This window comes from Homo sapiens, chromosome 2, assembly GCF_000001405.40.
Source record: "Homo sapiens chromosome 2, GRCh38.p14 Primary Assembly".
Taxonomy (NCBI): Eukaryota; Metazoa; Chordata; class Mammalia; order Primates; family Hominidae; genus Homo; species Homo sapiens.
The window spans coordinates 110,172,106-110,198,920 of record NC_000002.12 but is presented as its reverse complement, the minus strand read 5'-3'; the positions used below and the strand labels follow the sequence as shown (position 1 = coordinate 110,198,920).

At 41.3% G+C, this 26,815-nt stretch overlaps 1 protein-coding gene and 1 pseudogene across 11 annotated transcripts in view; one reads left to right on the top strand and one right to left on the bottom strand.

The window, feature by feature from the left end:
• The window catches only part of NPHP1 (nephrocystin 1), an 81,666-nt gene that overhangs the window by 6,093 nt on the left and 48,758 nt on the right, over window positions 1-26,815 (top strand). For 10 of the 11 annotated variants that reach the window (NM_001374256.1, XM_005263677.2, NM_001128178.3 and 7 more), the window contains exons 3-4: window positions 19,237-19,297; window positions 20,374-20,498. The exons of the other annotated variant lie outside the window; for it this stretch is intronic. In NM_001374256.1, coding sequence (NP_001361185.1) covers window positions 19,237-19,297; window positions 20,374-20,498 — 186 coding nt within the window. The remainder of the gene's footprint in view (window positions 1-19,236; window positions 19,298-20,373; window positions 20,499-26,815) is intronic. 11 annotated transcript variants of the gene reach the window in all.
• On the bottom strand, window positions 13,545-14,921 carry ACTR1AP1 (ACTR1A pseudogene 1; annotated as a pseudogene).

Genomic DNA, 26,815 nt, shown 5'->3' with positions numbered 1-26,815 from the left:
TTTATCTTCACGTTGCCGGTTTTCTTTATTAGGTCTGGCTTATCTATTTTTATTGAACAATGAGGGACTAGGTTGATTATTCCAGAGAGCTCTCATGGGCTTTTCTACTGTTAGATAGAGAGGGGTCCTTCCTGCTAGTACCATCCCCTGAATAAGAATGAAATTTTGTATGTTGATAGGGCTTATCAGAGGCTCGGAAGTAGCTTTTAGTCTGAGGATCCCCCAGTGCCAGAATAGGGCCGGCTCTAACCCTGGTGTATGGGAAACTTCTTTAGCAGTCATGATTCTCTTCAGGTCGTTTGTTAATTGTTTTTGTTTGTTTTTTTGTTTTTAGGGAAGAATCCCCTGGTAAGGAGGGAGAGCAGAGAGGGGAAAAGGGAGCTAACTGGCTCAGGTTTTCTGTAAATAGACTTTTAAAAGAAAGAACCCCAACTAAATCTAAACGTAATCAGTATCATTAATCTTCCCTTGACTAATATAAAGACCTTAGATTGCTTTAACATTGATTTCCCTCCTCAAAGCTTAGATGTATGCATATGATTTAATTTACACAATATAACACAATAATATTAGATAATTTATAAAGTAAACCCCAGCCACTGTGCATGTCTTTTCATCAGCAGAATTTCATAATGTGTCCCTCTATGATTTAGTTTAGTTAACCTTTGGTCCTTTATGTCTGCTGACTCAAGTCCTAGAGTTTTCGGCCTGGCAGATTATCTCCCTCTTATGCTTGTGTTGCGTCTTCCACCCTTTATAGGAGAACATGCTTCCAGCCTTTTTCCATGGAGCAGAAATTTGTTGAAATCTCTTGCTGGCTAGTTGTCCTTCTTTCCTTCTTTGCAGTGTTCAGAGTTTGTTACCTTTTCAAACGTTTTAATCATTTTTTGTGGGGTTTCAGGAGCCAGTGAAGATGAATGTGTGCTTAGTTTTTATCCTGAACCAGGAGTCTTAAAATATCAACTGTTTGAGGATTTTAATAATTACATAGTTATAAAGGAGGTAATTGTAATAAGTAATTTATTTTCTTGGTACATTATATTAAAATAGTTTTCCACTCTGGGCTTTAAGCGAAATTTCTGAGTCTAAGTTTCAGTAGAGATTTTTTTGGTCAAGTAACATGACACCTGCCAAAATAAGCGGCTTTACTGTCAGTCTCATTTGACAAAAGCCTGCAGCTAGGTTCTCTCAGGGTGGATTCATGGCTTGTGATATCCTCAAAGACCAGCCTTTGATGTCATTCCACTCTGCCATCCTTTGCTTGTTGGTGATGTCTCTCCTCATGGTTACAAAGTCCATACCCTCAGTATCTAAGAGCAGATGTAGGAGAGATTCTTTTCATGCCTGGTAAGGGAGGATAAAATGGGAGGCAATCCCAATATACGTGTTTTATGTTACACTGGCAGCCGTGGGCCCCCTGCTCACCCTGCCTGCAGTGGAGGCTGAGAACATAGGTGCCAGTGGGAAGCTGACTGCCAGCAAAGAGGAAGGGTGGGAAAGGGGCTTTTGGGGAGGTTGCTAGTAGGGTCAGCCCCAGTTTGATGTTTCCCCTTCTCTTTTGCTACCCTTTTGACAAAGGACTTTTGTTCCCTTTAAAACGTTTTTTATTTATTACTGTTTTTTATTTTTTTCTTTAAGTTCAGGGATACATGTATGGCATTGTGCAGGTTTGTTACATAGGTAAACGTGTGCCATACTGGTTTACTGGACAGATCATCCCATCACCTAGGTATTAAGCCCTGCATCCATTAATTATTCTTCCTGATGCTCTCCCTCCTCTAATACCTCCTTCCTACAGGCCCCAGTGTATGTTGTTACCCTCCTTGTGTCCATGTGTTCTCATCATTCAGCTCCCACTTATAAGTGAGAACATGCGGAGTTTGGTTTTCTGTTCCTGCATTAGTTTGCTGAGGATAATGACTTCCAACTGTAACCATGTCCCTCCAAAGGACATGATTTTGTTCCTTTTTATGGCTGCACAGTATTCTATGAGAACATGCAGTGTTTGGTTTTCTGTCCTTGTGATAATTTGCTCAGTATGATGGTTTCCAGCTTCATCCATGTCCCTTCAAAGGACATGAACTCATCATTTTTTATGGCTGCATAGTATTCCATGGTGTATATGTGCCACATTTTCTTAATCCAGTCTATCATTGTTGGACATTTGGGTTGGTTCCAAGTCTTTGCTATTGTGAATAGTGCCACAATAAACATATGTGTGCATGGGTCTTTATAGCAGCATGATTTATAATCCTTTGGGTATATACCCAGTAATGGGACAGTTGGGTCAAATGGTATTTCTAGTTCTAGATTCCTGAGGAATCGCCACACTGACTTCCACAATGGTTGAACTAGTTTACAGTCCCACCAACAGTGTAAAAGTTTCCTATTTCTCCACATCCTCTCCAGCACTTGTTGTTTCCTGACTTTTTAATGATCGCCATTCTAACTGGTGTGAGATGGTATCTCATTGTGGTTTTGATTTGCATTTCCCTGATGGCCAGTGATGATGAGCATTTTTTCATGTGTTTTTTGGCTGCATAAATGTCTTCTTTTGAGAAGTGTCTGTTCATATCCTTTGCCCACTTTTTGATGGCGTCGTTTGTTTTTTTCTTGTAAATTTGTTTGAGTTCATTGTAGATTCTGTATATTAGCCCTTTGTCAGATGAGTAGATTGCAACAATTTTCTCCCATTCTGTAGGTTGCCTGTTCACTCTGATGGTAGTTTCTTTTGCTGTGCAGAAGCTCTTTAGTTTAATTAGATCCCATTTGTCAATTTTGGCTTTTGTTGCCATTGCTTTTGGTGTTTTAGACATGACGTCCTTGCCCATGCCTATGTCCTGAATGGTAATGCCTAGGTTTTCTTCTAGGGTTTTTATGGTTTTAGGTCCAACATTTAAGTCTTTAATCCATCTTGAATTAATTTTTGTATAAGGTGTAAGGAAGGCATCCAGTTTCAACTTTCTACATATGGCTAGCCGGTTTTCCCAGCACCATTTATTAAATAGGGAATCATTTCCCCATTTCTTGTTTTTGTCAGGTTTGTCAAAGATCAGATAGTTGCAGATATATGGCATTATTTCTGAGGGCTCTGTTCTATTCCATAGGTCTATATCTCTGTTTTGGTACCAGTACCATGCTGTTTTGGTTACTGTAGCCTTGTAGTACAGTTTGAAGTTAGGTAGCGTGATGCCTCCAGCTTTGTTCTTTTGGCTTAGGATTGACTTGGTAATGTGGGCTCTTTTTTGGTTCCATATGAACTTAAAGTAGTTTTTTCCAATTCTGTAAAGAAAGTCATTGGTAGCTTGATGGGGATGGCATTGAATCTATAAATTACCTTGGGCAGTATGGTCATTTTCACGATATTGATACTTCCTACCCATGAGCATGGAATGTTCTTCCATTTGTTTGTATCCTCTTTTATTTCATTGAGCAGTGGTTTGTAGTTCTCCTTGAAGAGGACCTTCACATCCCTTGTAAGTTGGATTTCTAGGTATTTTATTCTCTTTGTAGCAATTGTGAATGGGAGTTCAGTCATGATTTGGCTCTCTGTCTGTTATTGGTATATAAGAATGCTTGTGATTTTTGCACATTGACTTTGTATCCTGAGACTTTGCTGAAGTTGCCTATCAGCTTAAGGAGATTATAGGCTGAGACGATGGGGTTTTCTAGATATACAATCATGTCATCTGCAAACAGGGACAATTTGACTTCCTCTTTTCCTAATTGAATACCCTTTATTTCCTTCTCCTGCCTGATTGCCCTGGCCAGAACTTCCAACACTATGTTGAATAGGAGTGGTGAGAGAGGGCATCCCTGTCTTGTGCCAGTTTTCAAAGGGAATGCTTCCAGTTTTTGCCCATTCAGTATGATATTGGCTGTGGGTTTGTCTTAGATAGCTGTTATTATTTTGAGATACGTCCCATCAATACCTAATTTCTTGAGAGTTTTTAGCATAAAGGGTTGTTAAATTTTGTCAAAGGCCTTTTCTGCATCTATTGAGATAATCATGTGGTTTTTGTCGTTGGTTCTGTTTATATGCTGGATTACGTTTATTGACTTGCGTATGTTGAACCAGCCTTGCATCCCAGGGATGAAGCCCACTTGATCATGGTGGATAGGCTTTTTGATGTGCTGCTGGATTTGGTTTGCCAGTATTTTATTGAGGATTTTTGCATCGAGGTTCATCAGGGATACTGGTCTAAAATTCTCTTTTTTTGTTGTGTCTCTGCCAGGCTTTGGTATCAGGATGATGCTGGCATCATAAAATGAGTTAGGGAGGATTCCCTCTTTTTCTATTGATTGGAATAGTTTCAGAAGGAATGGTACCAGCTCCTCCTTGTACCTCTGGTAGAATTTGGCTGTGAATCCATCTGGTCCTGGACTTTTTTTGGTTGGTAAGCTATTAATTATTGCCTCAATTTCAGAGCCTGTTATTGGTCTATTCAGAGATTCAGCTTCTTCCTGGTTTAGTCTTGGGAGGGTGTATTTGTCGAGGAATTTATCCATTTCTTCTAGATTTTCTAGTTTATTTGCATAGAGGTGTTTATAGTATTCTCTGATGGTAGTTGGTATTTCTGTGGGATCGGTGGTGATATCCCCTTTATCATTTTTTATTGCATCTATTTGATTCTTCTCTCTTTTCTTCTTTATTAGTCTTGCTAGCGGTTTATCAATTTTGTTGATCTTTTCAAAAAACCAGCTCCTGGATTCATTAATTTTTTGAAGGGTTTTTTTGTCTCTATCTCCTTCAGTTCTGCTCTGATCTTAGTTATTTCTTGCCTTCTGCTAGCTTTTGAATGTGTTTGCTCTTGGTTCTCCAGTTCTTTTAATTGTGATATTAGGGTGTCAATTTTATTTCTTTCCTGCTTTCTCTTGTGGGCATTTAGTGCTATAAATTTCCCTCTACACACAGCTTTAAATGTGTCCCAGAGATTCTGGTATGTTGTGGCTTTGTTCTCGTTGGTTTCAAAGAACATCTTTATTTCTGCCTTCATTTCGTTATGTATCCAGTAGTCATTCCGGAGCAGGTTGTTCAGTTTCCATGTGGTTTAGTGGTTTTGAGTGAGTTTCTTAATCCTCAGTTCTAGTTTGATTGCACTTTGGTCTGAGAGACAGTTTGTTATAATTTCTGTTCTTTTACATTTGCTGAGGAGTGCTTTACTTCCAACTATGTGGTCAATTTTGGAATAGGTGTGGTGTGGTGCTGAGAATAATGTATATTCTGTTGATTTGGGTTGGAGAGTTCTGTAGATGTCTATTAGGTCCACTTGGTGCAGAGCTGAGTTCAATTCCTGGATATCCTCATTAACTTTCTGTCCCGTTGATCTGTCTAATGTTGACAGTGGGGTGTTAAAGTCTCCCATTATTATTATGTGGGAGTCTAAGTCTCTTTCTAGGTCTCTAAGGACTTGCTTTATGAATCTGGGTGCTCCTGTATTGGGTGCATATATATTTAGGATAGTTACCTCTTCTTGTTGAATTGATCCCTTTACCATTATGTAATGGCCTTCTTTGTCTCTTTTGATCTTTGTTGGTTTAAAGTCTGTTTTATCAGAGACTAGGATTGCAACCCCTGCCTTTTTTTGTTTTCCATTTGCTTGGTAGATCTTCCTCCATCCCTTTATTTTGAGCCTATGTGTGTCTCTGTACATGAGATGGGTTTCCTGAATACAACACACTGATGGGCCTTGACTCTTTATCCAATTTTCCAATCTGTGTCTTTTAATTGGAGCATTTAGCCCATTTACATTTAAGGTTAATATTGTCATGTGTGAATTTGATCCTGTCATTATGATGTTAGCTGGTTATTTTGCTCATTAGTTGATGCAGTTTCTTCCTAGCCTCGATGGTCTTCACAATCTGGCATGTTTTTGCAGTGGCTGGTACCAGTTGTTCCTTTCCATGTTTAGTGCTTCCTTCAGGAGCTCTTTTAGGGCAGGCCTGGTGGTGACAAAATCTCTCAGCATCTGCTTGTCTGTAAAGGATTTTATTTCTCCTTCACTTATGAAGCTTAGTTTGGCTGGATATGAAATTCGGGGTTGAAAATTCTTTTCTTTAAGAAGTTGAATATTGGCCGCCATTCTCTTCTGGCTTGTAGAGTTTCTGCTGAGAGGTCAGCTGTTAGTCTGATGGGCTTCCCTTTGTGGGTAACCCGAGCTTTCTCTCTGGCTGCCCTTAACATTTTTTCCTTCATTTCAACTTTCGTGAATCTGACAATTATGTGTCTTGGAGTTGCTCTTCTCGAGGAGTATCTTTGTGGCGTTTTCTGTATTTCCTGAATTTGAATGTTGGCCTGCCTTGCTAGATTGGGGAAGTTCTCCTGGATAATATCTTGCAGAGTGTTTTCCAACTTGGTTCAATTCTCCCCATCACTTTCAGGTACACCAATCAGATGTAGATTTGATCTTTTCACATAGTCCCATATTTCTTGGAGGCTTTGTTTGTTTCTTTTTATTCTTTTTTCTCTAAACTTCTCTGTTTGCTTTATTTCATTCATTTGATCTTCCATCACTGATACCCTTTCTTCCAGTTGATCGAATCAGCTACTGAAGCTTGTGCATTCGTCACGTAGTTCTTGTGCCATGGTTTTCAGCTCCATCAGGTCCTTTAAGGACTTCTCTGCATTGGTTATTCTAGTTAGCCATTCGTCTAATCTTTTTTCAAGGTTTTTAACTTGTTTTCCACGGGTTCGAACTTCCTCCTTTAGCTCGGAGAAGTTTGATCATCTGAAGCCTTCTTCTCTCAACTCATGAAAGTCATTCTCCGTCCAGCTTTGTTCTGTTGCTGGTGAGGAGCTGCAATCCTTTGAAGGAGGAGAGGCGCTCTGATTTTTAGAATTTTCAGTTTTTCTGCTCTGTTTTTTCCCCATCTCTGTGGTTTTATCTACCTTTGGTCTTTGATGATGGTGATGTACAGATGGGGTTTTGGTGTGGATGTCCTTTCTGTTTGTTAGTTTTCCTTCTAACAGTCAGGACCCTCAGCTGCAGGTCTGTTGGAGTTTGCCGGAGGTCCACTCCAGACGCTGTTTGCCTGGGTATCAGCAGCAGAGGCTGCAGAACAGCGAATATTGGTGAACAGCAAATGTTGCTGCCTGATCATTCCTCTGGAAGTTTTGTCTCAGAGGAGTACCCGGCTGTATGAGGTGTCAGTCTGCCCCTACTGGGGGGTGCCTCCCAGTTAGGCTACTTGGGGGTCAGGGACCCACTTGAGGAGGCAGTCTGTCCGTTCTCAGATGTCAAGCTGCATGCTGGGAGAACCACTACTGTCTTCCAAGCTGTCAGACAGGGACATTTAAGTCTGCAGAGGTTTCTGCTGCCTTTTGTTTGGCTATGCCCTGTCCCCAGAGGTGGACTCTAAAGAGGCAGGCAGGCCTCCTTGAGCTGCGGTGGGCTCCACCCAGTTTGAGCTTCCAGGCTGCTTTGTTTACCTACTCAAGCCTCGGCAATGGCTAACAAACAGCCTCGCTGCTGCCTTGCAGTTTGATCTCAGACTGCTGTGCTAGCAATTAGCGAGGCTCTCTGGGCGTAGGACCCTCTGAGCCATGTGCGCGATGTAATCTCCTGGTGTGCCGTTTGCTAAGACTGTGGGAAAAGCGCAGTATTAGGGTGGGGGTGACCCGATTTTCCAGGTGCTGTCTGTCATCCCTTTCCTTGGCTAGGAAAGGGAATTCCCTTGTCCCTTGTGCTTCCCGGGTGAGGCAATGCCTCGCCCTGCTTCAGCTCATGCTCGGTGTGCTGCACCCACTTTCCTGCACCCACTGTCTGATAGTCCCTAGTGAGATGAACCCAGTACCTCAGTTGGAAATGCAGAAATCATTCATCTTCTGCGTCACTCACTCTGGGAGCTGTAGACTGGAGTTGTTCGTATTTGGCCATCTTGGAACCGCCCCAAGTGTTCCTTTTTCTCTGCAATTTTGCCAACATCTGTTTTTTTGACTTTTTAATAATCACCGTTCTGACTGGCATGAGATGGTACTTCACTGTGCTGAATGTGTGTCTTTTGAGAAGTGTCACTTCATGTCCTTTTGCTCACTTTTTAATGGGGTTTTTTTTTCTTATAAATTTGCTTATTTTTAGACTCTGGATATTAGACATTCATCAGATGGATAGATTGTAAACATTTTCCCCCATTCTGTAGGTTGTCTGTTCATTCTGATGATAGTGAGAGGTGACAGCATGCTGGCAGTCCTCACAGCCCTCGCTCACTCTTGGCGCCTCCTCTGCCTGGGCTCCCACTTTGGCGGCACTTGAGGAGCCCTTCAGCCTGCCGCTGCCCTGTGGGAGCCCCTTTCTGGGCTGGCCAAGGCCGGAGCCAGCTCCCTCAGCTTGCGAGGAGGTGTGGAGGGAGAGGCGCGGGTGGGAACCGGGCCTGCACACGGTGCTTGTGGGCCAGCGTGAGTTCCGGGTGGGCGTGGGCTCCGTGGACTCTGCACTTGGAGCGGCCAGCCAGCCAGCCCCACCGGCCCTGGGCAGTGAGGGGCTTAGCACCTGGGCCAGCAGCTGCTGTGCTCAATTTCTCACCCGGCCTTAGCTGCCTTCCCGCGGGGCAGGGCTCGGGACCTTCAGCCCGCCATGCCTGAGCCTCCCCGCCCTCTGTGGGCTCCTGTGCGGCCCGAGCCTCCCTGACAAGTGCCACCCCCTGCTCCACAGTGCCCAGTCCCATCGACCACCCAAGGGCTGAGGAGTGCGGGCGCACGGTGTGGGACTGGCAGGCAGCTCCACCTGCAGCCCTGGTGCGGGATCTGCTGGGTGAAGCCAGCTGGGCTCCTGAGTCTGGTGGGGATGTGGAGAACCTTTATGTCTAGCTAAGGGATTGTAAATACACCAATCAGCACTCTGTATCTAGCTCAAGGTTTGTAAACACACCAATCAGCCCCCTGTGTCTAGCTCAGTGTTTGTGAATGCACCAATTGACACTCTGTATCTAGCTACTCTGGTGGAGCCTTGGAGAACCTTTATGTCTAGCTCAGGGATTGTAAACACACCAATCGGCACTCTGTATCTAGCTCAAGGTTTGTAAACACACCAATCAGCACCCTGTGTCTAACTCAGGGTTTGTGAATGCACCCATCGACACTCTATATCTAACTACTCTGGTGGGGACTTGGAGAACCTTTGTGTGGACACTCTTTATCTAGCTAATCTAGTGGGGACCTGGAGAACCTTTGTGTCTAGCTCAGGGATTGTAAACGCACCAGTCAGCAACCTGTCAGAACAGACTACTCGGCTCTCTGTAAAATGGACCAATCAGCAGGATGTAGGTGGGGCCAGATAAAAGAATAAAAGCAGGCTGCCGGAGCCAGCAATGGCAACCCGCTTGGGTCCCCTTCCACACTGTGGAAGCTTTGTTCTTTCGCTGTTTGCAATAAATCTTGCTACTGCTCACTCTTTGGGTCCACACTGCCTTTATGAGCTGTAACACTCACCGCGAAGGTCTGCAGCTTCACTCCTGAAGTCAGCGAGACCATGAGCCCACTGGGAGGAATGAACAACTCCAGACGTGCCGCCTTAAGAGCTGTAACACTCACCGTGAAGGTCTGCAGCTTCACTCCTGAGCCAGCGAGACCACGAACCCACCAGAAGGAAGAAACTCCAAACACATCCGAACGTCAGAAGGAACAAACTCTGGACACGCCGCCTTTAAGAACTATAACACTCACTGCGAGGGTCCACGGCTTCATTCTTGAAGTCAGTGAGACCAAGAACCCACCAATTCTGGACACAATAGTTTCTTTTGCTGTGCAAAAGTTCTTTAGTTTGATGAGATCCTATTTGTCAAGTTTTGCTTTTGTTGCAATTGCTTTTGGCTTTTTGTTGTCATGAAATATTTGCCTGTGCCTATGTCCTGAATGCTATTGCTTGGATTTTCTTCTAGAGTTTTTATAGTTTTGGGTTTTACATTTAAGTCTTTAATCTATCTTGAATTAATTTTTGTATATGGTGTATGGAAGGGGTTCTAGTTTCAATTTTCTGCGTATAGCTAGCCAGCTCTTCCAGCATCATTTATTAAATAGGGGGCCCTTTCCGCATTGCTTGTTTTTGTCAGGTTTGTCAAAGATCAGATGGTTGTAGGTGTGCAAGTCTTATTTCTGAGTTCTCTATTCTGTTCCATTGGCCTATGTGTCTGTTCTTTTACCAGTACCATGCTGTTTTAGTTACTGTAGCCTTGTAATATAGTTTGAAGTTAGGTGGTGTGATGCCTCCAGCTTTGTTCTTTTTGCTTATTTGGGCTCTTCTTTTGTTCCATATAAATTTTAAAATAGCTTTTTCTAATTCTGTGAAGAATGTCAATGGAAGTTTGATGGGAATAGCATTGAATCTATACATTATTTGGGGCAGTATGTCCATTTTCACGATATGATTCTTCCTATCCACAAGCATGGAATGTTTCTCCATTTTTTTGTGTCACCTCTGATTTCTGGAGCAGTGTTTGTAGTTATCCTTGAGAAGGTCCCTCTCACTTTCTTTGTTAGCTGTATTCCTAGGTATTTTATTCTTTTTGTAGCAGTTGTGAATGTGAGTTCAGGATTTAGCTCTCTGCCTGCCTGTTGTTGGTATATAGGAATGCTAGCAATTTTTGCACATTGATTTTGTATCCTGAGACTTTGCTGAGGTTGCTTATCAGCTTAAGAAGTTTCTGGGCCAAGACAATGGGTTTTCTAGATATAGGATCATGTCATCTGCAAACAGGGATAATTTGAGTTCCTCTCTTCCTATTTGAATACTCCTTATTTCTTTCTCTTGCCTGACTTCCCAGGCCAGAACTTCCAACACTGCATTGAATAGGAGCAATGAGGGAGGGCATCCTTGTCTTGTGCCTGTTTTCAAAGGGAATGCTTCAAGCATTTGCCCATTCAGTATGATATTGGCTGTCGGTTTGTCATATATGGCTCTGATTATTTTGAGGTATATTCCTTCAATATCTAGTTTATTGAAATTTCTTAACATGAAAAGATGTTGAATTTTATTGAAAGCCTTTTCTGCATTTATTGAGATAGTCATTTTTTTTTGTCTTAAGTTCTGTTTATGTGATGAATCACATTTATTAATTTGTATATGTTGAACCAAACTTTCATCCTGGGGATGAAGCCAACTTGATCATGGTAGATAAGCTTTTTGATGTGCTGCTGGATTCGGTTTGCCAGTATTTTGTTGCGGATTTTTGTATCGATGTTCATGAAGGATATTGGCTTTAAGTTTTCTGTTTTTGCTGTATCTCTCCCAGGTTTTGGTATCGGGAGGATGCTGGATACAATCAGTTAGGGAGGAGTCCCTCCTTTTCAGTTGTTTGGAATAATTTCAGTAGAAATGGTTCCCACTCTTCTTTTTACCTTTGGTAGAATTCAGCTGTGAATTCATCTGGTCCTGGGAGTGTTTTGGTTGGTAAGCTATTTGGTAAAGCTGCCTCAATTTTAGAACTCATTATTGATCTGTTCAGGGATTCAATTTCTTCCTGGTTCAGTCTTGGGAGGGTGTATGTGTCCAAGAACTCATCCATTTCTTCTAGATTTTCTAGTTCATGTGCATAGAGGTGTTTATAGTATTCTCTGCTGATTGTTTGTATTTCTGTGGGGTCAGTGGTGATATCCCCCTTATAATTTCTGATTGTGTTTATTTGATTCTTCTCTCTTTTCTTTATTAGTCTAGCTAGTGGTGTATCTATTTTATTAATTTTTTTCAAAAAACCAGCTCCTGAATTTGTTCTTTGTAGGGTTTTTCATGTCTCTATCTCCTTCAGTTCAGCTCTGATCTTGGTTATTTCTTGTCTTCTGCTAGCTTTAGGGTTTGTTTGCTCTTGGTTCTCTAGTTCTTTTAGTTGAGATGTTAGGTTGTTAACTTGAGATCTTTCTAGCTTTTTGATGTGGGCATTTAGTGATATAAATTTTCCTCTGAACACTGCTTTAGCTGCATTTCAGAGATTCTGATACGTTGTCTCTTTGTTCTCATTAGTTTCAAAGAACTTCTTGATTTCTGCTTTAATTTCATTATTTACCTGAGTCATTCAGGGACAGGTGGTTATTTTCCTTGTAGTTGTGTGATTTTGACTGGATTTCTTTCTTTCTTTCTTTCTTTTTTTTAAATGTGTCTATCAGAATGACTTTATTTCAGTACACTGAGCCCCATCAGGCAGTGTGGTTTGTGCAAGGCTGTGCGAGGGACAGGCTTGGGCTAAGAGAAGGGAGGTGAGTTGTTAAGTGCACTGCAGTCTGTGGGGTGCTACATCGCTTTCACACACACCTGCTCCTTTGGCCCATACCTGGCAGGGGCCTTTGGTCATAGGACAGCATGGGGGAGACTACTGCATGGAGTCTGGGATTGGGGTGGGTCATGGTGTCACAGGTGAGGGTGCCGGTGAAGACAGGCTGGCCCCAGCTTTGCACCACCTGGGCTAAAGGCCTTTGGACTACTCCTAGGAGTCAGGCCTGGCTCCATTAGCTCCTGGCACTCTGGTCTGGCCCTCTCCCTCCTTAACCAAGCAGGTCCAAGGTCAAGAGTGGCCCAAGATCAGCCAAGAGGGGGCCATCCCACCTCTACAGCTTAGTTGCCTGGTCAGCTATAGTGGCAAAAGGCAACATGGTTAATTGCAGCTTTCTCCAGTCCTAAGGACACTGGCTCTCCAACACCCCTTCCTTGTTTAGGGGCCTCTGCCAAAGAAAAATTCTACCTCCTGTTTCAGAAAATCTAACCAGCAACCAGCCTGTTGATTCTATGGCAGTGAGCAAGAGAAAGAGGGAGAAAGAGGCTGGTGGGAGTGTCTTTGAGTATAGCTACCAATTTCAAATGGTCCTGCAACCTGTGGACACTGTCCGCTTACCATCAGCAGGGAGAGGCGGGGCCCTGGAGGCTAGGCTAAGCTTAGGTGCTATAAACATTAGTGTGGCAGGGCAGGAGGCAGTGAGCTCCCTCTCTCCATCCCCTTACTGAACAAACACTTCAATAAATAAAACTGTTTGAAGATGGCATTGCAACAAGAACGGATGGAAAGCAAGGACCTGGAATCAGCAGGCACCTTAAACTCTCCCAAGGCCCCTGGAAGGGGAATGGGCTGGGAACATTATCTCTGCAGCCATTCAGGGGGAGTACTACTCCTGCCCTCCTCCAGTGGCTGGTGTGGTCCTGTTCCCTGGTGAACATGAGGGCTTCCTGCTCCCTCCTGACTTTCCAGTCTCTGTATTAGCTCTTGGGATGCTTTTCTAGCCTCCCAAACCAAAATGGCAACAAAACCAGACAGAGGTCAACCCCAGCCCCAGTCCTCAGTGCCCAGTCAGGGGGCATTGATAGCGGAGTGACCAGCAAGGGGAGGCAGCAGCTGCCTGGGTCCTCAGGGCACCCTGGTGGGTGGGAGTGAGGGTGGGGCCAGTCCAGCCTAGGATGGGCAGCAGCAAGGTCTCCCAGGGGGTGGTTTATCTCCCTCTGTCTCCCCGTGGTAGTAAACGGAGTTCCCTGCAGCCAGTCAGAGGCCCACCTGAGGAGGGAGTGCAGCCTCTGCCAGTGTTCTTCCCTGTCAGGAGCCAGTTAATGGTCACCCCCAGGCCTCAGGCCATCACCATCGTGGGTAGTTCCTCATCCTTTCTGGACCTGGGGTCCCTGGGCCACATGGCACTTGCATGTGCTCACACACTTGTATACACACATGCACTCACACACACAGGCAATTCCTCACAAACACTCTGACTCAACAAAGCGAGTTTTAAAGTGGAGTTAACTTCAGAGAGAGGTGAAGATGATATCCCAACATTAGAAGGTTTTCCTGTGGATAGATCAGGCACCGTCTTCCTCATATTCCTTCTTGGAGACCCACATCTTCTTAAAGGTGTCATGGAGGCAAGGATAGAGCCCTCAATCCACGTGGAATACAGTCTCTCCTGAGGTGCAAATATCCTGATCTTCACTTCACTCAGTAGCCTGTCACCAAAACCTTTGAACAAGGTAGAGCCTCCCAAGAGGACGATGTTGGAGAAAAGTGTGAACTGCAGGTCCATGTCTGACTTCTGGATGGCGAACACCAGGACCTTGTGGATGCCTTCACTCTCCTCCCTGATCAAGTCTGGCCTGAAGAGCAGCTCAGGGGCCCGGAATTGGGAAGGACCAATCTCAATGGTGCTGCCATCAGGCAGGTAGTACTGAGCCTTCTCTGTCTCTAGTGTCTCTTCCTTCTGGGGGTTTATGGATAGGTAGGAGGGTCTTTCTTTTATGGCCTTGACAATCTCAAACTCAAAGGATGAGTGGAAATCTCAAACGATGAGTGGAAATCATAGCCCTCCTTATGCAGGTAGAGGTGCAGGAAGCGAGAGATGTTCCAGCTTGCGATGTCAATTCGCATGATGGAGTGGGGCATGGCAAAGCCCTGATAGATGGGCACAGCATGGGTGATGCCATCCCCAGAATCCAGCACCACCCCCGTGGTCCTGCCTGTGGCATAAAGGCTGAGCACAGCTTACATGGAGATGAAAATAGCAGGCACATTGAAGCTCTTGAAGAAAACGTTGGCAGCTCATTCCTGGTGTCTTTGTGGGTTTAAAGGTGCCTCAGTGAGGAGCACGAGATGCTCCTCTGAGAAAGTCTGCAGCTGGTCCTTAGAATAGACATATTGCCAGATGTGTTCCATGTCGTTCCAGTCCTTGACAATGCCATGCTCCGTGAGATAGCAGATTGAGAGCAGCCCTTGGTGCTCCTTGGCTTTGAAGCCAATGAAGATGTCACCTTCAAGGGCTCCTGCCATGATACGAATATGCATGGGTAGGCCCACATACTTTGGAAAGCAGTATTTGTGGATCTGATCACCAGCAAAACCAGCTTTAATCACACCAGATTCATTGTCGATCATGACAGGCTGGTTGGTGATTGTATCGTAAGACTCCACGGCAGAGGAATCTCTCCTGGGGAAGGAACTACCAGTTGGGTCTGCCGCTAGTGCCATTCATGAATTTCTTAATCTTGAGTTCTAATTTGATTGCATTTTGGTCTGTTTGTTATAATTTCAGTTCTTTTTCATTTGCTGAGGAATATTTTATTTCCGATTACTTGATCAATTTTAGAGTAAGTGCCTTGTGGTGATGAGTAGAATGCATATTTTGTTGTTTTTGGGTGGAGAGTTCTGTAGATATCTATTAGGTTCACTTGATCCAGAGCTGAGTTCAGGTCCTGAATATCTTTATCAATTTTCTGTGTGGATGACCTGCCTAATATTGTCAGTGGGGTATTAAAGTCTCCCACTATTATTGTATGGGAGTCCAAGTCACTTTGAAAATCATAAGAACTTGCTGTATGAATCTGGGTTGCCGAGACCAGCTCGGTCATGGAGACCCTAACCCAGCGGCGCTAGAGGAATTAAAGACACACACACAGAAATATAGTGTGTGGAGTGGGAAATCAGGGGTCTCACAGCTTTCAGAGCTGAGAGCATTGAACAGAGATTTACCCACATATTTATTGACAGCAAGCCAGTGATAAGTATTGTTTCTATAGATTATAGATTTACTAAAAGTATTCCTTACGGGAAATAAAGGGATGGGCCGAAATAAAGGGGAGGTTCTGGCTAGTTATCTGCAACAGGAACATGTCCTTAAGGCACAGATCGCTCATGCTATTGTTTGTGGTTCAGGAATGCCTTTAAGCAGTTTTCCGCCCTGGGTGGGCCAGGTGTTCCTTTCCCTCATTCTGGTAAACCCACAACCTTCACCATGGGCATCATGGCCATCATGAACATGTCACAGTGCTGCAGAGATTTTGTTTATGGCCAGTTTTGGGGCCAGTTTATGGCCAGATTTCGGGGTCTCTTCCCAACATGGGTGCTCTTTTTTTGGGTGCATATGTATTTAGGATAGCTCTTCTTGTTGAATTGAACCTTTTACCATTGTGTAATGCCCTTCTTTGTCTTTTTTTTATCTTTATTGGCTTAAAGTCTGTTTTGTCAGAAGCTAGAATTGCAACCCCTGCTTTTTTCTGTTTTCCATTTGCTTGGTAAATTTTCCTCCATCCCTTTATTTTGAACCTATGTGTGTCTTTGCAAATGACGTGGATCTCTTGAAGACAGCATACCGATGGATCTTGACTCTTTATCCAGCTTGCCATTCTGTGTCTTTTTAATTGGGGCATTTAACCCACTTACATTTAAGGTTAGTATTGTTTTGTGTGAGTTTGATCCTATCATCATTATTCTAGCTGGTTATTTTGCAGATTTGTTTATGTGGTTGCTTCATAGTGTCACTGGTCTGTGTACTTCAGTGTGTTTTTATAGTGGGTGGTATCAATTTCTCCTTTCCGTATTTAGTCCTTCCTTCAGGAGCTCTTGCAGGGCAGGCCTGGTGGTGACAAATTCCCTAAGCATTTGCTTGGTCTGAAAAGGATCTTATTTCTCCTTCATGTATGAAGCTTAGTTTGGCCGGATTTGAAATTCTGGGTTGGAAATTTCTTTTCTTTAAGAATGATGAATATTGGTCCCCAGTCTCTGCTGGCTTATAGGGTTTGGGTTTCCACTGAGAGGTATGCTGTTAGTCTGATGAGCTTCCTTTTGTAGGTGAGCTGGCCTTTCTCTCTGGCTGCCTTTAACTTTTTTTTTTTTCATTTTGACCTTGAAGAATCATGATTATGTGTGTTGGGGTTGATCTTCTCATGGAGTACCTTACTGGGGTTCTCTGGATTTCCTGAATTTGAATGTTGGCTTGTCTTGCTAGGTTGGGGGAATTCTTCTGTATGATATTCTAAAGTATGTTTTTCAACGTGGTTCCATTTTTCCTGTCTTTTTTAGGTACCCCAATAAGTCACGGGTTTGGTCTGTATACATAATCCCATATTTCTCTAAGGTTTTGTTCATTCATTTTCATTCTTTTTTCCCTATTCTTGTCCGCCTGTCTTAATTCAGAAACATAATCTTCAAGCTCTGAGATTCTTTCCTCTGCCTTGTCTATTCTGCTATTGATACTTGTGATTGCATTATAAAGTTCTTGTGTTTTTCACCTCTATCAGGTCAGTTATGTTCCTCTCTTAATTGGCTGTTCTGGCTATCAGCTCCTGTATTGGTTTATCATGATTCTTAGCTTCTTTGCAGTGGGTTTCAACATACTCCTTTAACTCAACAAAGTTTTTTATTACCCACTTTCTGAAGCCTCCTTCTGTAAGTTCAGCCATCTCAGCATCATCCCACTTCTGTGCCCTTGCTGGAGTGGTGTTGTGGTCATTTGGAGCAGAAGAGGCACTCTGGCTTTTTGAGTTTTCAGCATTTTGTGTCAATTATTTCTCATCTTTGTGGGCTTATTTGCCTTTGATCTTTGAGGTTGCTGACCTTTAAATAGGATTTTTGTTGAGTTTTTATTGTTGATGTTGTTGTTGTTGTTTTCTGTTTGTTTTTCTTTTAACAGTCAGGACACTCTACTGTAGTGTTGCTGTGGTTTGCTGTACCCCAGACCCTAATTGCCTCAGTTTTTCCCATACCTGGAAGTATCACCAGTGAAGGCTGCAAAACAGCAAATATGGCAGCCAGCTCCTTCCTCTGGAAGCTCTGTCCCAGGAGAGTACTGATTTGTTGCCAGCCCAAACGCACTTTGTAGGAGGTGGCTGGAAACCCCTTTTGGGAGGTCTCACCCAGTCAGGTGGAATGGGATTACAGACCCACTTAAAGAAGCAGTCTGGCTGCTTTTTGGTAGAGCACATATGATACATTAGGAGGGGACTCTTTCTTCTGGACCATTTGTATTCTCCAAAGCCAGCAGGCTAGAATGGCTAAGTCTACTGAACCCCAGAGATAGCAGCCACCCCTGCCCCGGTAACTTGGAACTGCCTCAGAAAGATTCCAGACTGCTTTGGTTGGCTGGCTGGAATTCCAAGCCAGTGGGTCTTAACTTGTGAGTTGCCATGGAAGTGGGGGCCATGGAAGTGGGGCCCACGGAACAATGCTGCTTGGCTCCCTGGATTCAGCTCCCTTTCTAGGGATATATACAGATGGATATCCCCCCTTGCTGGGGATCTTGGGGCCAGAGTATATAAAATTCCTGGGTCACTGTATGTGCCTGAGCAGCTGCTCTGCTGAGACACCACACAGTTCTGTGTATTGGACCCAAGGCCCTGGTGGCATGAACTCAGGAGATCTCCTGATCTGTGGGTTGCAGAGATCCGTGGGAGAAACATGGTTTTCTGGGCAGGGTTGCATGGTCACTCACCACTTCTCTTGGTTGGGGATGGGGGTTCCTTTGGCTGCATGCCACTCCCAGGTTGGCTCTTGTTCCCCTTGTTCCCTGGCTTTTCTACATTCTCATGGGTCAAGGTGTTTGCCTTGTCAGTCTCAATGTGAGAACCTGGATATTTCAGTTTAAAGTGCTGAATTCACTTGCCCTTCTTCATTCCTCTCAGTGAGTGCCATAGACCACAGCTGCTTCTAATTGGCCATCTTGGATCAACGTTGTTATTCCCTTTTTCACTGCTTATTTCATTTCACTCACATCTATAAGCAAAAAAAAAAAAAAAAAAAAAAAGACTCAAACGGCATAAAAAAGTGACTTTTGTAGGTTATTGTTTAGTAAAGCATTTGAATTAAAAAAATCTCATCATGAGCTATAGCTCATATTTGGTCATTTTTTGTACTTCTCATTTGGGTATCTAAGACTTAATGCTGAATTGAGGCATCTGTGGAATAAATAAAACTCTGGACCTGTCTGGACAAGCAAGCTCAAAGCAGGAGTGTGCTGTGGTGGGAATAGGCCAACTGTGGAATCCTAAACTGCCTTCATATTGTTGCTGTACCATTGAGCAGCTATGTGGACTTGGTACACATAGCTTGAGAAGCTATGTAGAACTTCTCTTTCTTTAAGTGGAGTGAGGGTTGTTATGAGGCTTAAATGAGGTAATGTTTGTAAACTGCTTAACATGGTTGGCACACAGTAAACTTTAGGTACTATTATCAGTTTTGTCTCTGAGGCTAGTTCCTAGGTTTATGGAGTTGTAGAGCTGGAGAAGCATTTTAAAGTCCAGCGTTCTTCCTTATTTTAGAGAGAGGAAACTGATGCCCAGAGACACTGAAGGTTTCTGAGGCTTGGTTATCATGTCTATGTGTTTTACAGCTTGGCTATGAGGATCATCTGAGCTAATAGGTGGAAAAGCATTTATATGTCAGTTTTTTAGTATTGTTCATACAGTGGCTAATTGCCTTGCCTGCTCAACGACTGAATGATTTTATAAAATAGCTTTCTGGTTCTGATAATAGAAAAATCAATATATTTTCTTTTTTTTCTTAATTTAGATGTATCCAGTTAAAGCAGGCAATAGATGAAAATAAAAATGCTCTTCAAAAATTAAGCAAAGTAAGTATTGAGGTTAATCACATTATTAAAACATCTCTTCCTATACAAGTATTTTTATTAAGTGGAAGTTAATTCAAGTTGGTAAGTTCCTGGGTTTACGTTAGTGATATAGTCTAACTGCAGCCAGTGCTGGCTTGCCGAACAGGCTTGCTAAGTCTGTGCTTGGGAGCAAAGCAAAATCCAGGGCTCCAACTACCGAAAAATGTTCAGCTTTGATGAACTCACCTGCTATTAAGGATTCAGACAATCCTGGAAGGAGCTATTTTTATTTTTGCATTTTGTGAGTTGTTTTACAGTTTAGAATTATTTTTATTTTAATTTCTTTGTGGGGAAATAATGCATAATCTGGCCCTGAGGGTAAGTGGTAAAGAAGCTTCTTGTATCAAATGGCAGCTCTGATATCAATGTCTCTGCAGAAACAAGAGGAACAGGAATTTAACCTTGACAATCCCTTCAGGATTTTTTTTTTTTTTTCACATGAGCCTTGGCTACAGCTAGATGTCCAGGTCCAGAGACTCATGGAGTCTTTAAAGTGGAAGGCACCTGAAAGTCAGCTCTCCAGCTGTATATTACTCCCCTTTACTGCATCTGAGATATGTGGTCACTGAAGAGCTCCTCCAAATTTCTCCAGTGACACAAAACTTTTCAACTTAGACTGTTTGAAAACCTAATTATTTCTGTTTCACAGGTGAGGAAATTGAAGCTCTCAGTGGTGAAGCATCCATGCCTCTTCTGTCAATAAGTGGCAGAACTTGGGATTGGTGCCTGTCTCATTGACTTTAAAGCCGATCTTCTGTCAGAACATATCTCTTACTGACTATGGAAGGTCTATAATACTTAGCAAGAAAATAAAAGAGAAACCTAAAACAAGTGGTATAATTTTATTTTTTCATTTGGTTTGCATTCCAACACAATTGCCTGTTTCTTTTAAATCTAATTTATTTCCCTAAGATAGGTGTAATGTCACACTGATATTTACTTTGTTATATAGCACTTATTGGAATTTTTTGTTGTTCTTTTGAAATTAGGAAACTGAAATTAATTTTTTAGTGAAATAGACCTATATTCTCTCATAGGCTGATGAATCTGCACCTGTTGCAAACTATAATCAGAGAAAAGAAGAGGAGCATACTCTTTTGGACAAGCTTACCCAACAACTGCAGGGCCTTGCTGTGACAATAAGCAGAGAAAATATAACTGAGTATGCTTCCTTTCTACCTTTCTTTTTTCTTTTTTAAAGATATATCACCAATAGCTTTAATGTTTAACTCAAAGACATATAGCAGTATAGATATAAACAAATGACACTAACAATAGAATCAGTCAACATTTATTTATTGTGTATAATAGAAGGTGTTAGATCCCATGAGAGATGGAAAGAAGTGTAAGTCATAGTCTCTGCCCTCAGGCAATTTATAATTTAGTTGAAACAAAACAGAGATCTGAAAAGCTAAATGAACAAATGTTAGAAAATAAAGATGATATATTTAATGTCAATGTTGATGTGTAAAAGGGAAATGATTTGGAATGTCTACTTGCATTGTTCTCCCTTTCATAAACATTCTTTAAAAATTTGAAGCAAAGACTGAGTGTGGTGACTCATACCTGTAATCCCAGCATTTTGGAAGGCTGAGGCAGGAGGATCACTTGAGGCCAGGAGTTCAAGACCAGCCTGGGCAATACAGTGGACCCCATCTCTACAAAAAAACCCAAACTAGTCAGGCTTGGTGGCACGTACCTGTAGTCCCAGCTACTTGGGAGGCTGAGGCAAGGAGGATTGCTTGAGCCCAGAAGTTCCAGGCTGCAGTGAGCTATAATCACCTCAGTGCACAGCCTGGGCAACGGAGTGAGACACTGTCTCTATTAAAAAAAAAAAAAATTGAAGTAGGGACATGCATTGTTTGTCTGCCAGAGTGTATGTTAATAATAGCTTCTGAAAGTTGTAAAGAAGACTTACATATACAAGTTGAGTATTCCTTATCTGAAATGCTTGGGATCAGAAGTATCTTCAGTTTTGGATTGTTTTGGATTTTGGAATATTTGCATTGTACTTACTTGTTGAGCATCCCTAATCTGGAAATCTACATTTTGAAAGACTCCAATGAGCATTTCCTTGGAGTGTTATTTTGATGCTCCAAAAGTTTCAGATTTAGGAGTATTTCGGATTTTGGATTTTCTGATTAGGGATACCCAACCTGTACGAACAAACCCAATTTGTGGGAAGCAAAAGAAAAAAATCAGTTATTCAGACTATTTCAGTGTTGTTCTCCAACCTTTATACTGTATCCTGGGAAAAAATGCTGAAGGTGGTAGATGCAAGGATCTAGAATTTCCACCGATTCTTAGTACTGAGAATGGCAGAGTAGTTGGTATTGGACTAACCTTCCCACCATAAATGACTATAAAGTCTGGACAAAATATACAAAGCATCTGTTTGAAGCCACTGAGCATCTACCAAGCAGGGTTGATATTCTTGATATAGGGAGACACATGAAGCAAATCCTACATTCACCTAGACCTTTTCCCTGGGAATAATTTATGAGCTGTGGTGGAGGAAGGTAGATTCCAAGCAGGGAATAGTAGTCTTACTCGACTGAGGAGACAGAGATCACACTTTGGAGCTGCTCAGTTCACTGAGAGTTGTGGAGCAAGGTGCCATAGAGAGAAGGGAGCTGCACAGAAACAACTCCAGCAATCTGAAAGGTCTCCTGGGCTGTATAGGGCATGATGCCTGCAAGGCCTGGCAGAAAGTACCTGCTGGGAGACTAAGAGCTTAATGGATTCTGGTAATCATATAGTCCTGGAAAAACACTGGAGTTTGTACCTAGTTCTAGTAAAGAGACTTGGGAAATGTTTCAGGCATTTAGTAGAGGACACAGAAGGCCCAGGCCCTAGGAGTAAAGAAAACACCCTGAGAGTAACAACCATGATCTAGGAATAAAGACAAAGCTGAGGTAGGTCTTCTCTAAAAGAGCCTAAAAGCAGACCTTATCAGGAACAAGATAATTTAACTGTGTAACATTAAAATAATTTAAAATTTCTTAGAGGAATATAACATAATCCAAAGTCTGTAAGTGAGTCATGTAATGTGTCCATCACAGCAACCAGTATAAAAAAAATCAGAAATGCAAAAAAGCAGGGGAAAATACATGATCAATAAGTGACAAGATGGTCACTAAAAACAGACCCAGATATGATCCAGATATAGAGTTAGCTGACAAGGACTTCTAAATAAAATGATTAATACAGTAAAGAAAATAGAAGAAAAGATGAATGAAATGGGAAATGGGTGTATTTAATTCAAATATAGAAAAATCAAATGAACATTCTATAACTAAAAAATACAATATTTGATAAAGTAATGACTGAGAACTTCCAAAATCTGATTCAACATATAGACTCAAAAATCTGGGAAATATATTAAAATCAAGAGAATAAATAATCAGTAGCTCGGAGATGTGAGAATTAGCAAATAACCATAAAACAACAATTTTTAATATGTTAAATAATTTATAGGAAAAGATTGATAAGATGAATAGAGCGAAATCTTAAGCAGAGAAATGGGAACTAATAAAGACCAAAATGAAAATTCTGGAACTAAAAAAATACAATATGTGAAATAAAATTGCTGAGTGGTTTAATAGAAGATTGGATACAACAGAAGAAGGGATCAGTGAACCCAAAGACAGCTTAAAAGTTTTTCAAATTGATACACAAAAATAAAAAAATGCAAAGAACAAAACAGAATGTAAGAGAGAGGTGGGACACTGTTAAAAGTTGTAACAGATTTGTAATTGAAGTCTCAGAATAAGAGAGAGAATGAAGCACAAGAAATATTTAAAGAGATAGTGACTGAAAATATTTAAAAATTATGATCTAAGAGAGATATCAATCCACTGATCCAAGAATCTCAGGGAACCCCAAACAGAATCAATATAAAGAAACCCACACACAGGTACCTCAAACTACCGAAAACCAAAGATAAATAGGAGATCTTAAAAGCTGCCAAGGGAAAAAAGGAAACATGTAGAGACAAATGACAGAATTACAGTTGACATCTTATGAGAAAAAATACAGGTCAGAAGACAATGCAGTAACAGTAACATCTTGAAAACGTTGAAAGAAGAAACCATCAACTCAGAATTCTGTATCCAGCAAAAGTATAAAAAATTAAAGTGAAATAAAGACATTTTCAGGCAAACAAAAGCTGAGAAAATTTGTCAACTGATCTGCAGTATAAGAAATGTTAAAGGAAGTTCTTCAGGCTAGCAGACAATGATCCCACATTGAAATTTGGACCTTCAAAAAGGATTGAAGAAGATGGGTACGTGGGTACATATAAAAGCCTATTTTTTCTTTTCTATATGCCTTTGAAAGACACTCAATTATGTAAAGCAAAATATATATTTGGGGATTTATAATATCCAGTTGATTCTCATTATTTACAGTAGTTATGTTCTATAAAGTTGCCAGGAATACTCGATTAGTAAATGCTAAACCATTGCTCCTGGGGAAATGCAGACTTAAGACTCCTGTGAGCCTCTGGTCACAATGTTTTTGTCAACTGAGTAACATACAACCTTGTGTTACTGTTTAAAGACACTTTATTTCATATATTTTATTGATTCATTAACATTGAATTCACACTAACAGCACTATCACTCATGCATGAACAAGTCTTATCTAACACACTTATTTTCTCCAGAGGTACATTATAGCCTTCTTGTGCTTAGGAATACCACATGGCTCTTCAGCGCTATGTTTGGGAGCCATTTTAAACAACAAAATCACCAAAAAAAAAAAAAAGCACAAAAATGCAAAAACTGTGGCACTAAATAGACTGCAAAAAAGGGACACTTTCCTGTATGAGAGCTGAAAAAAAAAGGCAGGTGTCACCATGTTCAGCTTCAGTTGGGAATGTGTACGCCAGACAACTCAAATTTTTTGCTGCTTTGTGTATGTCCACAAATGACCACAAAAGCACTGTGAGTATTAATTAGGAGGTTACAAATAAAGTTTAGTGAGCCAATGAATTCATAAATACAGAATCTGCATGTTACAAGGACTGACTATATGTAGAAGGAAAATGTGACAATAGCACAGCATAGCACAAAGGCTGGCAGGTAAATGGAATTATTTATCTTAAAGTTATTTTATCTTTGGTGAAATGTGATATTTAAATTAGACTATGATAAGTTAGGGATGCATATTGTAATACCTAAAACAATCACTAACAAAATAATACAAAGAAGTGTAGCTTGTGAAACAACACAATAAAATGGAATACTAAACGTGATTTGATTAACCCAAAAAAGGCAAGAAAGGAGAAATAAACAGATGAGACAAATAGAAACCAAATAGTAATATGGTTTCAATGCAGCCATTTGGATAGTTACATTAAATGTAAATGGAGTAACACTCCAATTACAACAAAGATTGTCAGATTGAATTTTTTTAACCCAAATATATACTATTTAGAAGAGATAGACTTTAGTATGCAGTTATAGAGAGAGTGAAAGTAAAGAACTGGAAAAAGGTATTCCATGTTCTACAACAAAGATATTATTTGTTTTATAACCAAAACAAAGGTGATACGGTTACAATAATATCAGATATTTAAGGCTAAAAGTAATTTACTATTTAAGAAAGGACATTTCATAATGATAAAAGAAAGGGTCGATTCAGTAGGAAAAAAAATCTTCCTAAATGAGTATACATTTAATAATATGGGTTCAAATGTATAAAGCAAAAGTTGCCAGAACTAAAACAGAGCTAGATAATTCACAATCCTTAACCACCGTGATCTAATTACATGTATAGTCAAGCCTTTCTTAGTGATAGGGATATGTTCTGAGAAATGAGTCATTAAGTGATTTCATCATTGTACAAACATCATAGAATGTACTTGCACAAACCTAGAAGGTGTAGGTTACCATACACTTGGGTTATATAGTTATAGTATAGCATGTTGCTCCTAGGCTACAAACCTGTACAGCATGTTACTGTGCTGAATACTGTACACAATTGTAACACAATGGTGTATTTGTGTATCTAAACATATCCAAAAATAGGAAATGTACAGTAAAAATATGGTATTATATGTATGGGGCCATCATTGTATATGTGGCCCATTGTTGACTGAAACATTGTTGTGCAGCACATGACTATATATGTGTAGAACACAGCACCTAAGTATGTATTATGTAAATACATATTCTTTTCAGTGCATCTGTAACATTAACCAAAATGAACCATATTGGACCATAAAGTAATTGTCACCAAATTTCAAGAGTTTGAAATTATGTAGAATATATATATATTTTCTTTGATGACTTGGAATGACATTAAAACCCAATGACAGAAAAATAATTAGAAATCACTGCATGTGGCCAGGTGCGGTGGCTCACGCCTGTGCTGAGGCGGGCGAATCACGAGGTCAAGAGATAGAGACCATCTGGCCAACATGGTGAAACCCCATCTCTACTAAAAATACAAAAATGAGCTGGGCATGGTGGTGCATGCCTGTAGTCCCAGCTACTCGGGAGTCGGAGGCAGGAGAATCGCTTGAACCCGGGAGGTGGAGATTGCAGTGAGCCAAGATCATACCACTGCACTCCAGCCTGGTGACAGAATGAGACACCGTCTCAAAAAAAAAAAAAAAGAAAAAGAAAAAGAAAAGAAATTACTACATGTTTGCAAATTGTCACACACTTCTATATAAACTGTGAGTCAAAGAAAATATAACAGTGGCAATTAGAAAATATTTGGAATGATAATAAAATGACTGGGTTGCAACCAGCATAGTGCTTAAAGGGAAAATTTCTATCTTTTGTTTGTTTGTTTTGGAGACAGGGTCTCCGTTACCCAGACTGGGTATAGTGGTGCAATCTTGGCTCACTGCAACGTCCACCTCCCAGGCTCTAGTGATCCTCTCCACCTCCGCCTCCCTGAGTAGCTGAGACTACAGGCGTGTGCCACTACGCTTGGCAAATTTTTTAAATTTTTTGTAGAGGCAGGGTCTCACTATATTGCTCAGGCTGGTCTTGAACTCATGGGCTTATGCAATCCTCCCACCTCAGCCTCCCAAAGTTCTGGGATTACAGGTGTGAGCCGCCACACCTGGCCAGAAATTTATATCTTTAAATGTATAGTTTGAAAAAAAAGTTGAAAATCAATTACTAAAACATCCAACTTTAGGGGCCAGAAAAAGGACAACAAACCCAAGGAGAGCAGGAAAGAAATAATAAAAATAAAAGCAGAAAACAGTGAACAATAAACAGACATACAGTAGGCAATATCAACAAAGCCAAACTGGTTTTTGGAAAATTAATTAAATGGATAAGCTGCTAGCATTACTGATCAAGAAAAGAGAGAGAGAAAAAAAATCAATACAGATTCCACAAGCATTAAAAAGATACTATGAAAAGACTATGAACAACTTGTGTGAATAAGTTTGAAATTTAGATAAAATTAGTTTCTTTAAAAAGAAAATGTACTAAAATTGACACAAGATGAACA